Raw genomic sequence first — 12916 nt, forward strand, 5'->3', positions numbered from 1 at the left:
ATTCCCGGACCTCCATCACGCAACAGCCCGGGCCACCAGCCGCGCTCACAAACCTCAGCCCCTCCGGGATGCGGGGCAGCAGTAAATGTATCTGGCTCTCAGGTGTCGCAGGCCCTGCTCCCTTATCCTGCCCGGAGGGCACTGAGGTCTGGGAGGTGACAAGGAAAACTGCTGGGGGCCCCGGAAGCAGCGAGTCTCAGCCCCACCCCACGCTACGCGGAGCTGCAGAGCCTCTGCCTTCAAAGCAGCTGAGGCCCACGCTTACTCTCTTCCCGAGTGCGCCCCCACCCCTTGGTTCTTCATCTTGGGCCCAACAGCGGGTGGGGGAGCCCCAGCAGAAGACCAGACGAGACCGCAGCACCGGGCACCAACGTTGGTTTTAATGGCATCAACACCCAGGAGGTCACACGTCAGTTCTGGTTGGCAACGTCTAGGGGTGAGGGGCTGTGGCCTCCAGTCGGCCCCACAGCCTTTGAGAACTGGCTGCCCGGTCCCACCCGCTTCCCGCCCCGCCCCACTGAAAAAACACTAAACGATTGCACTGACAGACAGACCCCAGAGCGCCCGGCCTCCCACACACCCACGGGGCTGTCAGAGTCAACCAGGGCTTTGGCGTCACTCGGCGGTGGCCCGGGGCTGCGCCCAGGATAGTGTTTATCAAATGTGACACAGGTTCATTTACAAACTGGGGCTCTGGAAGGTCTACTTCTGTGGCTCTAAGAGACTTGTCTCTCATGGCTTCTCTCGGAGCTACCGGAAGTTGGGCCTGGATAACGCTGTGTAGGTTGGTTGGTTTATTTGTAAGGAATGTGTAAGGCATTTTGGTAAGTTGAACAGTAACTTCTTTTTCCAAAGAGGAAACTCAGACAGAGGTGCCCTCCTTTGAGCTGCTGCCGTCCTCCTGTGAACGAAGGCAGGTGGCGTGAGGGGGGCTGGGCCACGAGCCATGGCAGAACCACCTGCCCTCTACCCTGGGCCTTTAGTCCCTCCCTGGATTGACCCCCTCAAGCCACTCCAGTCCCTCAGAGAACAGGAGCCACAGACCCCTGGGGCTGGGGGACAGGGAGGACTTGGTGGGAGCTGAGGGGAAACCATCATCCTGCAGGGCAGGGGCTGGAGCACTGGCTAAGGGGCCCACACAGGTGCAAAGTGAGGACCTGGGCCAGCAGGGGGATCAGACACTCGCTTCCCAGCAAGGGAACCCCAGAAGGGTGGGTGGTGGGCCGGGTGGGCTGAAGCCCTCGTTAGGAAGTCTCTGTCCCCACTACCTCCGCCCAGCTCTGCCTCCCCTGGGGCTCCCAGCCCAGCGCTCCCAGCAGCTTGACGACTCCGCCCAGCTCTGCCTCTCCCGGTCCTGCCTCCCCGGGGCTCCCGGCAGCTCGACTCCTCCCGCCCTGCTTTGGCGCCAGGCACGCACTGCCTTTTCCAGCTGTTCCTGCAGCTTCTTCACCGTGTCCTTCTCCCTTGCCAGCTGCTCCTGGGTCGTCTTCAGAAGCTCCTGCAGTCTCGTGGCGGCGCGCCCCAGGTCACTTGTTAACTTCTTCTCTTTTTCTAGTCTCTCCTGATGGTCAGAAGGTTGACGGGCATCAGCCCTTGCACCGGCAGGAGGGCCACCCCAGCTATGCCCACAGGACCCTGACGCCAGGGGCTGGAGCCCTCTGGGGACACAAGGAAGGCAACTCCTGGTCACCCGGAGATAGGTGGTGACGACAGGGAGGAAACCGCCCATGCTGACCGTGAGGGCTGGGTCCTGTGCTCTCAGCACCACCAGAACTTCCTGGGGCAGGAGCAGTTTACTCCGCACTGTCCAAGGCAGCACAGGAGACACACCTGACTACTGAGCGCTGGACGTGTGGCTGAGGAACGCACTTCACGTTCTACATGCTTCACATTTCGACAGCCACCAGGACTAATGGCTGCCATGTGACCATGTGACACTGCAGGGCTAGGAGTCCCCACCCCAGCCCCGGGTAGTGACAAGGGGAACCAGTGCCAAGGGCAGGTCCCGGTGGGGTCGGCTCTCCCCTTCCTGGCCCCTTTCCGAGGCCAAGAGTGGCGCCAGCCCCAGAGCAGACCCTCCAGGTGTGACCCCCGCCCCAGCCCCTGCCTGCCTTCAGCTGTGAGGCCTCCTCTGTTTCTGAAGACTCTAGGGGGCCGGCTGTGCGGAGCTTCTCCAATTCTTCTTGTAACCGACATGCCGAGGTCTGAGCCTTGCCGGAGAGGGAAGTGAGGTCTGGGTGAGACGTCTTATAAACGGCTGTGCTGTCAAGACCCTACCGAGCACGCCTGGGGACCAGGGGGCCCCCCCAGCCTGATGGAGCAACAGCTCCATCCTGTAGCTGGAATGAGTGGGCCAGACCCACAAGTTCTGACCCAGCCCCAGGCCCTCAAGGCTCCTCAGGGATGCAGACCACCCACAGGGCTCCCAAGGTGCCTCCAGCCTGTGCTCCACCTGCCCGGGCCCCACCCACTGCTGCCCAGAAGGCCCAGGCCCAGCCCAGGTGCTGCTGGGCACAGCCGAGCGGGGCAGGGCTGACCCACTCATTCCCTGGAGACTCAGGGCCCAGGGGCTGATGGGGGCTGAGAGCCACCAGGCAGGGCCTGACCTCCTCAAACTCGGCCGTGAGCTTCTGCCGCTGTGTCTGCTCATCCTCCAGGATGGCTTCTGTCCACTCCAGCTGCGTCTTCAGCTGTGCAAACACCGCAAACATAACCCGGCAGCCCGGTGAGGAACCCTCCAGGGGCCCAGGGATCCAGCACAGGCACCGCTCTCTAGCTGCTTCTAGCTTCCCCTTTCCCTGCCCCAACGCTCCCCTCGTTGGGGAGAGGGCACCTCAGCCCCTGGTACAGACTTCGGTGTGGCTCAGGAGCAGCTGATGGGGCCTCTGCAACCTCAGGGGCCTTTAACGAGACTCACAGGACAAGAACGATGCCTCCGAGCCCTGGCCCCATGACAACCCCCTTAACAGCCACACCATGGCCACCCCAGGGACAGGCCCTGCCTCTTGGTGAGGACTCTTGGTGGCTATTGCCGGGCTCAAAACTCTGGAGAGCGAATATCCTGCTAGCGATGTCCCAGCCGGGGTTGCAGTGGGAGACAGTCCCCTTCGATGGCTGCAGACCCTGCCCAGAGCTGCTCCTGAGCCCTGTAGGTGCAGACCCCAAATCACGGACTCCCTCTTCGAGTCCCACCTCCCCCCAACTCCTCCAGCCTCTCCACCTGGCCACCTTTCTGTTCCATGCTCTGTGGCTTTCTCCGAACCTGGATGATCCAAATGGGGCAAAGCAGGGTGGGGTGGGGAAGCAGCGGAGGCTGGAGCAGCCAGTGCGGGGTTTAGTCCGAACGGAGGCAGCAGGGCCTGCACTCTTCTGGGATTAGTGATGTGTCTGGGGACCAGCTCACCGCCCTAACCTGAACGGGGTCCTGCTCGGCTGGGGGCGCCTCTGGGGAGGAAGCTGGGGCCCCAGCTATGTCACCATCCTCTACGTGGCTCTTCATTTCACTCAACTGCTGCCTGACCTGGAACAGGAAGGGGTGTGTTTGCAAATGCACAGCCAGTCGCACACCCACCATGCTCACTCCTGCAGGGACCCCCTCGGAGGACCGTAGCTGCTCTCAACAGCCAAAGTCCCTTCAGGGGACCTGGCTTGGTAACTGTGACCTATGTCTGGCCACCCCCGCCGCCAACCTGAGCCAAACCAAGGCCACCAAGCCTCTGGGCTAATGAGACCCAATGTGCTCTGCTCCAAGCCCAACCGGAGGGGAGCCCTCCCTGGGAGTGAGGTGACCCCTGATGGGCATGGCCCACAGAGCAAAGGAATCCGAATGGAACCGGGGGGTGGCCGCCACACTGTCTACACCCCCCGTTTCTCCTTCAAGGATGCAGTCCACTGCTCAGAGCCCTTTCCGGGGTCTAGAAAAGATTATGAGATAACATTCTTGCCTAACAAGGTCCCCCACCCCTACGCTCCATCACTGGGGTTAGGTGGCATATCTGGCTGCACCCAAACCACTGGGCCTGCAATTTGAAGGGCAGGTGTCACTCGAGAGGCTCAGGTAGAGGTTCCAATTGGAGACCCAGGTGGGGCCCTTGGCATAAGCTCCCCAGGGAACATGGGCGGTCTCTGACCCTGCGCTGAGGGGCCACCCCAGGTACGTGGGAACCCCAGACATTCTTCCCTCCCTCTGAACAGCCCCTCCCAATGCAAATAACGAACTGCACAGCTGGAAGACAACAGAAACTCCAGGGGGTTTTCTCTGCACATCCCCGGCCTGGGCCATGCCCCCGGGGCCTGTCACCCAGACTTCGCTCAGCCAAGGCTTCAGTGAGTGGCCCCTAGACACAGGAGGAGACCTGGCCTAGGCAGCACTGCCCTCTGGTGTTCTGGTCCGGGTAAGACCTGAATGACCAAGGGGGACCGAGGGTGTTGGGAGCGTGTGCCGGACTCACTGGCTGCTGCAGGGGGAATGCCAGCCCATTTTTATTTAAAATTTCCCAATTTCTCCCTGTTGACAACTAATTCAAGATTTAAAAAAACACCGCAGATCAAACAGAACATGTCTGCGGCCTCACAGGGTGCTGCTCACAACACCAGCCTTGGGGCGGTACCAGATCCGGTGAGGCTGGGTGGAGCCTGCCAAGGAGCTGGGACTTGGCATCAGACACCTGAGCTGAACACCAGGAGGGACTCAAGAGGCCACCTGCACAGGCAGAGCTCCAGTGGTCTGCCAAGGGGGCTGCTCTCTGCACCCGGCAGCTGGTATGGGGCCGGGCGTGGAGCAGGTCTTCCCTGCATGCCTGTGGCTTTGACTGAATTGATCTGAGCTGTCACTGAGGTGAGAAAACCCACAGAAGGCACGGGACTTGCTGAGAGCCCCAGGGCGATGGGTGGCCAGGCCAGGAGGAACCCCCAGGCTTCCTGGTCTTGTGATGCCAGGGACTGCAATATCCCTGACGCCCCCAGGTGACTACAATGGGCTCACAGGGAATGCAGACGCCCAGAGCTCTCACTACCTTGAACAGGGGACCAGGTAGCCAGGGGACGGGAGATGGAGTGGGAGCACCCTGGTCCCAACAGCCACAGGCCCAGCTCAGAGTTCTGGGCAAATGTGCAGGAAGGCCCCCAGAAGCCGGCCCCATGCTGCTCAACGGGTGACACTGTCCCTTCCCTAGGCTTTATCTTTGAGTGGACACAAACGCATGACTGGCAAATGCATCTCACACACGCAACGCCCCAGGTCACACTCCTGGCATGGGGACATGGAGGCCACCTACCAGGGCAAGCTCATCGCTCTGTTTCTGGGCTTCGCTCTTGGCGGCATCGAGCTGAGATTGAGATTCTAGGAGAAGTTGCCTCAGCTTGGGGAGAAAACAGAGGCGGGTGATGGGAAAAAAGGAGAGAAAAGGAGAAAACCAGTCCCCGTGAGTTAGCGCCGAAACATAAAACCTAACACATCCACTTAACCAAAACCCTGAGGAGGGTCACAGCATCGGGCCGGCACAGGGCTCGCCAGGCTTCCTACAGCTACGATTTCTTTTTTGAGGACTTAGGAAGAATGGTGTTCACTGCGTACCTCTTTCAGGCCTTCACAAATGTTTACTGATTATCTCTGGCAAAAAAGGGCCAAAAGTTGGAGATGATTTTTTTTTTCAGAGATGGTCTCAATCTGTCATCCACGCTGGTCTTGAACTCTTGGGCTCAGGCAATCCTCCTGCATCAGCCTCCTAAGCAGCTGGGAACGGAGGTGCCCACCAGTGTGCCTGGCTTTTTTTTTTTTTTTTGGTAGAGATGCGGTCTTGCTATGTTGCCCAGGCCGGTCTCAAATTTCTGGCCTCGAGCAATCCACCTCAGCCTTTCAAAGTGCTGGGATTACAGGCATGAGCCGCTGTGCCTGGCCCAAAAGTTTGAGATTAAACCAGAATTGGGATACTGGGCTTGTGCTTCTGCTTCTGAAGAGCAGAAAAAGTGTCAGATCTAAATCCACTCCCCACCAGATATGACATCAGCAAGCCAGGCAGAGAATCCCCTTGCGGAGGGATAACCTAGAACGTCAAACGCCTCCCTCGGGGCAGGGCTGCCTGGCTCTGCCCCTGTCCTGGCTGGGAGGCTGCCTTTTTGAAACCTGCCCTGAGAGACACCTCAGGCCTGACAGCCCAACGAGGGGCCTGTGAGGCTTCGGGCAAACGCCTGAGGACTCGGACTTCAAGGCTTATGTCACCGAGAGCTGCTCCCACAGGGCTGAGGAGAAGCAGCTCAGGGAGGACCGCAGATCTGCTGGGCAGGGGCTGCACTCCTTGGGGGGCAGACTCACCCCTGCCACCTCCTTGGCGTAGTTCTGGCACTCGGCGCTGGCGGCCGCCATGTGCTTTTCCAGCTCTGCCTCCAAATGCGACGTGTGCTCCCTCACCTGGACAGATGCACAGACACGCACACGCATGCGCCAGCAGCCTCTGCTCAAAGGGCACTCACCTCAGGGAGCAGGCTGGCCCTGGGATAGGTGAGGCCTCTCGGGAGATCCCTGAGGCCCACCAGCTACCAAGCAAACGAGAAACTAGTCCGCGGCAAGAGAACCCCTTACGGAAAGTGGCAGGCTGCACCCGGGCACTCCTGGGGACTGACATGCTCTTAGATTTACTTGCAAAAGCAGGTACCAAGGGTACCTTCTCCAGGGCTCCCTGTGGCGTCTGAAGGGGGCAGTGGGGCCACCTTGACTGTGAAGGCCGTGGCAGAAGCCCTGTTCACCAGGGCTGGGCAGGTCTGCACAGGGCCCGTGGCTGGGTCTCAGGGTCCTCTGAGGTAGTCAATGTCTCTCATTAAGGAAAAACAGGATGGACAAGATCCCTTGGCTTGAGAGAGAATGCCTCTCTTAAGGCACACGGTCCATGAGGAAGAAATCAGTGAAGTGTCCTCTGCATTAACGTCACTTTCAAAGAGGCTCCCGGGACAAGAGAAAGAGTTCTCTGAGCAGAGCACATACCTGGTCCGAACTTTCAAGTTCTCCTTTTAGCTTCTCTACAATCTCTTCGAGATGCTTCACTGTGACCCGGGACTACAAAGCAAGGGGAAGGCTCCGTCAGACACGAGCACCTGGGGGTGTCTCCTTCCGAGGCCATGCTAGGACCCGAGCGGGACTGACCCAACTTAGGAAGCCCCGGGGGTGCCCACTCCGCCCAGCTGGGACGGTCACCCTGGCGCCATCTGGCAGTGTCTTCCTAGGCGGGGGCCTCCTGGAGGACGGACTGAGCTGTCATCCCGCAACTGTGCTTCATAGGGTGTCGTGGAAAAGCCCCACCGAGACACACGAGTCTCACAGGTGACAGAGACAATCCTGTCAACTCTCCCCTGGGCTTCATGTGCTCCACGGCGCCGGGAGGCAGGCAGGGCTGCATATACCTTCTGGAGCTCCTCCTCTGCGGCGCCCACCTTGGCCCTCCACACCTGCTCCTCCTCCTCCACGCTCTTCTGCAGGTCTCTGAGCATGCCCTCCTGGGGGGAAACCGAGGTGAGGCAGGGCCCTCTCCCTCCCGAGACCCGCACCACACAACCGCATCTTCCTGTCCCTGCAGCCCTGGTGACCTGCCGTGCTCCGCCTGCTGACTTCATGAGCGCCAGCGTTAGGTGGGGAGGGAAGGCAACCACTGTCCTGGGAGGGAGGTCCTCTGGCCAGTGGGCCAGTGTGGCTGCAGTGCCAGGCAAGGAAATGAGGTCTGTGACCTGCACAGGACCACTAGGATGCTTGTTACTGCCGGGGTTTGCCACCAGCACCAAGTGTGTCAATGGCCCAGGACGAGGAGCACAGGATGGGCTGGCCAGAGAGTGGCAGGGCTAGACCTGGCATTGCTCTTAGTCACAAACGGGGTTCAACCTGGCAGTCACCAGCTGCTTACCCCGTCCTTCCCCTTCCCCAGCTTAGAGACCGGCCCCGAACCTTCAACTTGGCCTTCTCTTCAGCTTAGAAACAATGACGACCTCAGAGGGTGCCATCCATTTACCATGCAGCCGAAGAACGGGGCCCAGAGTCACAAGGCCAGTGGGCTTTTCCAAAACACCAGGCCACCTCCTGCCCCATAGGCCCCGAAGCTCTCCTTCCCTGCAGCCTCCCAGGGATGCCCAGCTGACAGGTTCCCAATGCTCACCGTCTCCGCCAGGATGCTGCGGTACTGGTCACACTCGGCCTGCAGTGTGCTCTGCGTCTCCTCGGCCTCCCTCAACTTGGAGGCCAGGTCCTGAGAGAGGGAAGAACAGGTGTTTAGTTAGCCACACACAAAGGTTCTTCTCTTGGCTTCCCGTTGAAATGACTTGGGGCAGCCCCTCTTCCTGGGGACAGGGGAGCCCAACAGAGGAGCCTTGCCAGGCAGCCACACTTACCGAGGAGGGCTCCGCGGGAGCTGGCGGGTGCTTCAGCAGCGTGGGGCCTTTCTCTTTGAGATCCTGCAGCCACTCGGTGTAATTCTGCAATGAAACACATTCGGTGAGACCCGGGGACATTCCCTGAGAACTGTGAGGTCCCCGGGAACCACCCTCCCCTCCTACCTGTTGTGCCAAGACAGAGAGTTCTGGGAGCAGAGCCAGCAGGGCCTCCATGGTCTGCGCCTCAATCAGACAGAGCTGCTTCTCCGATTCCTCCTGGGGGGTGGGTGGGGAAGAGCGGAAGGTGTTCAGCTGTGGAGGTGTGGGGCACCTCCCCAGGTCTTTACTGATATGCCCGGGTCTCTGCCCCAGAAAGGGCACATCCTCAGCTCTTCAGGGAAGCGACAAGAATCAAAGGAGAAGATGAGGCTCCATGGGGCTGACTGTAAGCAGAGGGGTTACCCAGCCTGTATCTGGTCCATTTCAAACAGACTAAGCTCTGATGAAAGGAGCATACTGGGTCAGGCCAAGATGGCAGGTGCCAGCTCCCGGGACATCTCCCAGCAGGGACAGTCTCCACCAGCTCTCACTTCCCGAGCTCTCTGGGCATGTGTGCATGTGTGGGGGAATTTGGGGGGTCCGCAGTTGATGTGTGAGAGCCAGGGCAGGAAGAAGGGATGGGAGGACACTCATGGCCCCCAATGTTTTGGAATCTAGAGCTGTGATGGGGATGGGGGTGAAGGCAGGGAAGCAGTGCGTCTGCTGGCGGCACCACGGTTAGGGGCTAGTGGCAGCCAGGAAGGGGCAACCCAGAGAGGCTCATCTCCAGCCACCCTGGAGAGGGTGGATCAGCATTCCCCCTCTGCAGAGGGAGAAGCCCACTCAGAGGAGACAGGGACTTTGCACCCTGTGCCATGCTGGGTCGGACACCCCCTCAGTCCTCAACGAAGAGCCAGCGGCCCCCATTCAAAGCACAACAAAGATAAGGAAACAAAAGGAAACAAAGGGGGCCCAAGGGAATCATGAAGCAAAGCCTAGGACCACAGTGTCCCCCGGGAGAGAGCTGGGCTCTCCCACACCCCGAGGGGAAGGCTGCTGGGGTAACAGCCTGTGTCTGGCCCTGCCACCACCTGGACAGGCCTGGCCTAAGACCCAGGGAGGCCCCAGGAACTCCACCTGGATCAGAGCTGATGGAGTGTTAACTCCCCCAAGCAGAGTCCTGGAATGTGCATGAAGGATGCTGACCACCGGACACCCAGCCTGAGCGCAGCGCCCTCTGGCCTGACGCACACCTGAGAAGCGGGCCCTTCCTGGCTGGCCAAGTTATCCACAGGTAGGGCCCGTGACCCATGTGGACCCTTGACCTCACGACCACCACTGAGGCCTCTAGTTGTGAGTCAAGGCAAGCTGGAGACCCAGAGGCCACCTTCTATCTGGATGTGTGACCACAATCAAGTCAGGTGACATCTCTGGTCACAGCTTCATTTACCACATGGTAGCCAGACAGTCTCTGAGGTCACTGGGGGCTACAAGGCCAAGATTCTAGGAGTCTAACTATAGCTCTCACAGGGTGGCCTGAGGCCATCCTTCACCTCCTGCCCTAGCTAGTTGTCCTCATCTGATACAACCCTCAGGCTTCCTGGGAATCACCGCAAAGCTCCTGCCATTGGGGCAGATATTCCTGTGAGAGAGGCTGGGAGTGGAGGCCCTTTCATGAGGTAGGAAAACGTGTGTGACCTCAAAGTGTGGGCAGGGCCTTTAGTTGCAGCTGCTGCTGGCCATGTCCCCTGGCCAGAGCCTCCTCACTGGCTCCTGGACAGCCCAGCACCCCAAAAGCAACCCGTGGGCTCAGACACTGGGAGACACCTGCACACGCCCCACCTGGACAGCATGGAGCGCAGGGCCAACGCGGCCTCTGTTCCCCGAGTGCTCGCTGCAAACAATGTCCTCCCCTCTGTGACTTAAAGACTCCTCATGGGACTGGGCGTGGTGGTTCACCCCTGTAATCCCAACACTTTGGGAGGCCAAGGCAGGCAGATCACTTGAGGTCAGGAGTTGGAGACCAACCAAGCCAACATGGCAAAACCCCATCTGTACAAAACATGCAAAACTTAGCCGGGCGTGGTGGTGCACGCCTGTAATCCCAGCTACTTGAGAGGGTGAGGCAGGAGAATTGCTTGAACCCGGGAGGCAGGGGTTGGAGTGACCTGAGATCACGCCACTGCACTCCAGCCTGGGCGACAGAGCAAGACACCGTCTCAAAAAAAAAAAAAGTCTCCTCACAGAGCCCCCTGGGCCATGACTTCAGAGGCCCAAGCAGCAGGATTACCCGACAAAAGGACACACAACAGAAATAACACCAAAAAAGCTCATAAAGAGTGCAGCCTCGGGCTCACTGCCTCCAGTCCCACCCCAGCAGCTCTGTACCCTCAGCCAGAGAGACCAGCACGGAGAAGCCCATCAAGGGGGCACCCCCATCCCTCTCTTGGAAAGGAGCAAGTGAAGAAGGGAAGGACGGCAGGGAAGGAGGTGGGAGGGGGAGGTGGATGTAGAGCCGGGGTCTGGCGTGGACTCAGGAGCTCTGAGGCCAAGGCCACTCTGTGCGCACTTAGTGCACTGTGTGCGTCCTAGTGCACCTGTGCGTCTGTGTGTCCTAGTGCGTCTGTACGTCCTAGTGCCTCTGTGTCTGTCCTAGTGCCTCTGTGTGTCCTAGTGCGTCTGTGCGTACTAGTGCATCTGTGTGTCCTAGTGCTTCTATGCGTTCCTAGTGCCTCTGTATGTCTGTCCTAGTGCATCTGTGCGTCCTAGAGCATCTGGTGTCCTAGTGCATCTGTACGTCTTAGTGCATTTGTGCATCCTAGTGCACTTTCCATGGTGGGGGTGTGAGTGTGGTCGGGCTCTGACCTTGGCCTGGGTCAGGGAGAGCAGCTTCTCCTTGCAGGCCTGCTCGGCCGTGGCCAGTGCCTCCATGGCCTTCCAGTTCTTCTCCCGGAGGTCCTGGAGGGGACACAGGTGAAAGGTCAGCAGCCTGCACTGGCAGCACGGGCTGCCTAAGCTGGTGTCAGACAGGACAGGGCCCAGAGACCCTCCTTGATGCCACCCTGGCCCACAGAGGACCTGCCACGGGACAAAATGCCCCTTCCTTGGCCCATGACCATGGCGCCTGAACACAAGGCCTGGGTGCCGTAGCCAGAGGCGGGCAGCATGGCACAGGGTGAAGAGGTGGCGCCCTTTCGATAAAGACACCACTAGCCAAAGGGAGGAGGGAGGGCCAGCCTGTGTCCTCAAAGGGAAGAGGTTCCTGCTACCAAATGGTTAGTGCTGATCCCTTGGGCCAGCTCTGGCAGAGCCTGGCACAGGGAGGCCAAGGCCAGGGCCTGCCTTGGGAAGCTGCAGCCTCTGCAGGGAGCAACAGGGCCAGCCAGCAAGCCCGGCTCTGTGAGAAGGGGGCAGGAGGGTGTGGCCGAGGCCACACCAGGACAGCAGGCATGCCACCTGCCGAGCTTCTACATCCCCTTCTCCTGGGACCAGGATCCCCACTTAGGGCAACCACGTGACTCAGGCCAGGCCAACAGCACACTGTCCCCACCCCAGGGATGACTCCACGCTTGAGCGAGTGGCGCAGGCTGATCCACAGGCAGTCAGCCCTGGGTCTTTGGCGGAACTCAGGGGTGAGTAGAAGCACCCCCCACACCCTGGACCCCCACAGCACAATGGGGTGTAGAAACACAAGCTCAGCCCTCCCCCGAGTCCAGGGCGGGTGCCACATAGCAGAACCTTTCCCGGCCCCACCTGTGCTTCCCTGGCCCGTCCGTCCCCGCCTGTGCCTGCCGCACTCACATTGTTCTTCACTTTCTGCTGCTCGACGGCCTCCCTGAGCTCGATGGCCTCCTTCTCCAGACCCGACACCTGGGACTCCAGCTCCTTGAGGCTGAAGGGACACAACGAGGTCACCGCCTAGGCTCCAAGGGGCTACAGCCCCTACAGATCCCACCTGAGGCCCCATCCAGGGAGGAGTACCTTCGAGGCTGAACCATCTGGCCAGGGACGGTCCCTTCTGGCTGCCCCCACCTCACCCAGCGTGAGCTCCCAGGGAAGCCTGAGCAGCCCCCAACACCCTCCCCTCCCCCCGCCATCCAGAGCACTGACCCCAGAGCTGTCACCAGAGTCCCAGTTGGTGACACCGGAGAGCTGGGTTTCCAGGAGAGGTGGAATCGTGACCCTGCCCTCAGAGCTCTCCTGGGGCCCTCACAGCTTTTCCCTGCATCATGTGACAGCCTCCGCCGGCAAATCACCCCAAGAGCGTCCCCAAAAGAATGAGACTCCGAGGAAGAGGTGTCAGCAGGCCAGTGGCAAGGACACACTGACAATCACACCCTTGGCAGCCACTGCCCGAATTCTAGAATATCTGGGGCTGAATCGCTCCTCTCTACTCCAGAGCAGGATGGCCCAGCCTACACATAACTTTCAGATCAACTGTTTGAGAAGGAAATAAAAGCACCAATTTCTGCCAGACACATCTACATGATGCAAGAAAATTCAGATTAATCCTAACTACAACATG

At 59.8% G+C, this 12916-nt stretch overlaps 1 protein-coding gene across 3 annotated transcripts in view, besides 2 other annotated features; it reads right to left on the bottom strand.

Annotated features, from left to right (window-relative positions):
* Positions 1-359: 359 nt before the first annotated feature.
* Positions 360-12916, bottom strand: part of RRBP1 (ribosome binding protein 1) — a 68564-nt gene continuing 56007 nt past the window's right edge. For all 3 annotated transcript variants that reach the window (NM_004587.3, NM_001042576.2, NM_001365613.2), the window contains 14 exons: positions 12193-12283; positions 11257-11349; positions 8536-8628; positions 8371-8454; positions 8139-8228; positions 7396-7488; positions 6980-7051; positions 6314-6409; positions 5277-5360; positions 3413-3520; positions 2607-2690; positions 2112-2210; positions 1418-1561; positions 360-901 (listed from right to left, as the gene is read on the bottom strand). In NM_004587.3, the coding sequence (NP_004578.3) occupies positions 863-901; positions 1418-1561; positions 2112-2210; positions 2607-2690; positions 3413-3520; positions 5277-5360; positions 6314-6409; positions 6980-7051; positions 7396-7488; positions 8139-8228; positions 8371-8454; positions 8536-8628; positions 11257-11349; positions 12193-12283 (1270 nt within the window). In that variant the 3' untranslated portion in view covers positions 360-862. The remainder of the gene's footprint in view (positions 902-1417; positions 1562-2111; positions 2211-2606; positions 2691-3412; positions 3521-5276; positions 5361-6313; positions 6410-6979; positions 7052-7395; positions 7489-8138; positions 8229-8370; positions 8455-8535; positions 8629-11256; positions 11350-12192; positions 12284-12916) is intronic.
* Positions 595-1318: an enhancer, noted in NCBI's record as "H3K4me1 hESC enhancer chr20:17594559-17595282 (GRCh37/hg19 assembly coordinates)". NCBI's record gives its function as "activates a minimal SCP1, AML or CMV promoter by ChIP-STARR-seq in primed H9 embryonic stem cells {active_cell/tissue: H9 hESC(primed)}" and the evidence as "EXISTENCE:reporter gene assay evidence [ECO:0000049][PMID:30033119]".
* Positions 1319-2042: an enhancer, noted in NCBI's record as "H3K4me1 hESC enhancer chr20:17595283-17596006 (GRCh37/hg19 assembly coordinates)". NCBI's record gives its function as "activates a minimal SCP1, AML or CMV promoter by ChIP-STARR-seq in primed H9 embryonic stem cells {active_cell/tissue: H9 hESC(primed)}" and the evidence as "EXISTENCE:reporter gene assay evidence [ECO:0000049][PMID:30033119]".

This window comes from Homo sapiens, chromosome 20, assembly GCF_000001405.40.
Source record: "Homo sapiens chromosome 20, GRCh38.p14 Primary Assembly".
NCBI classification, from domain to species: Eukaryota; Metazoa; Chordata; class Mammalia; order Primates; family Hominidae; genus Homo; species Homo sapiens.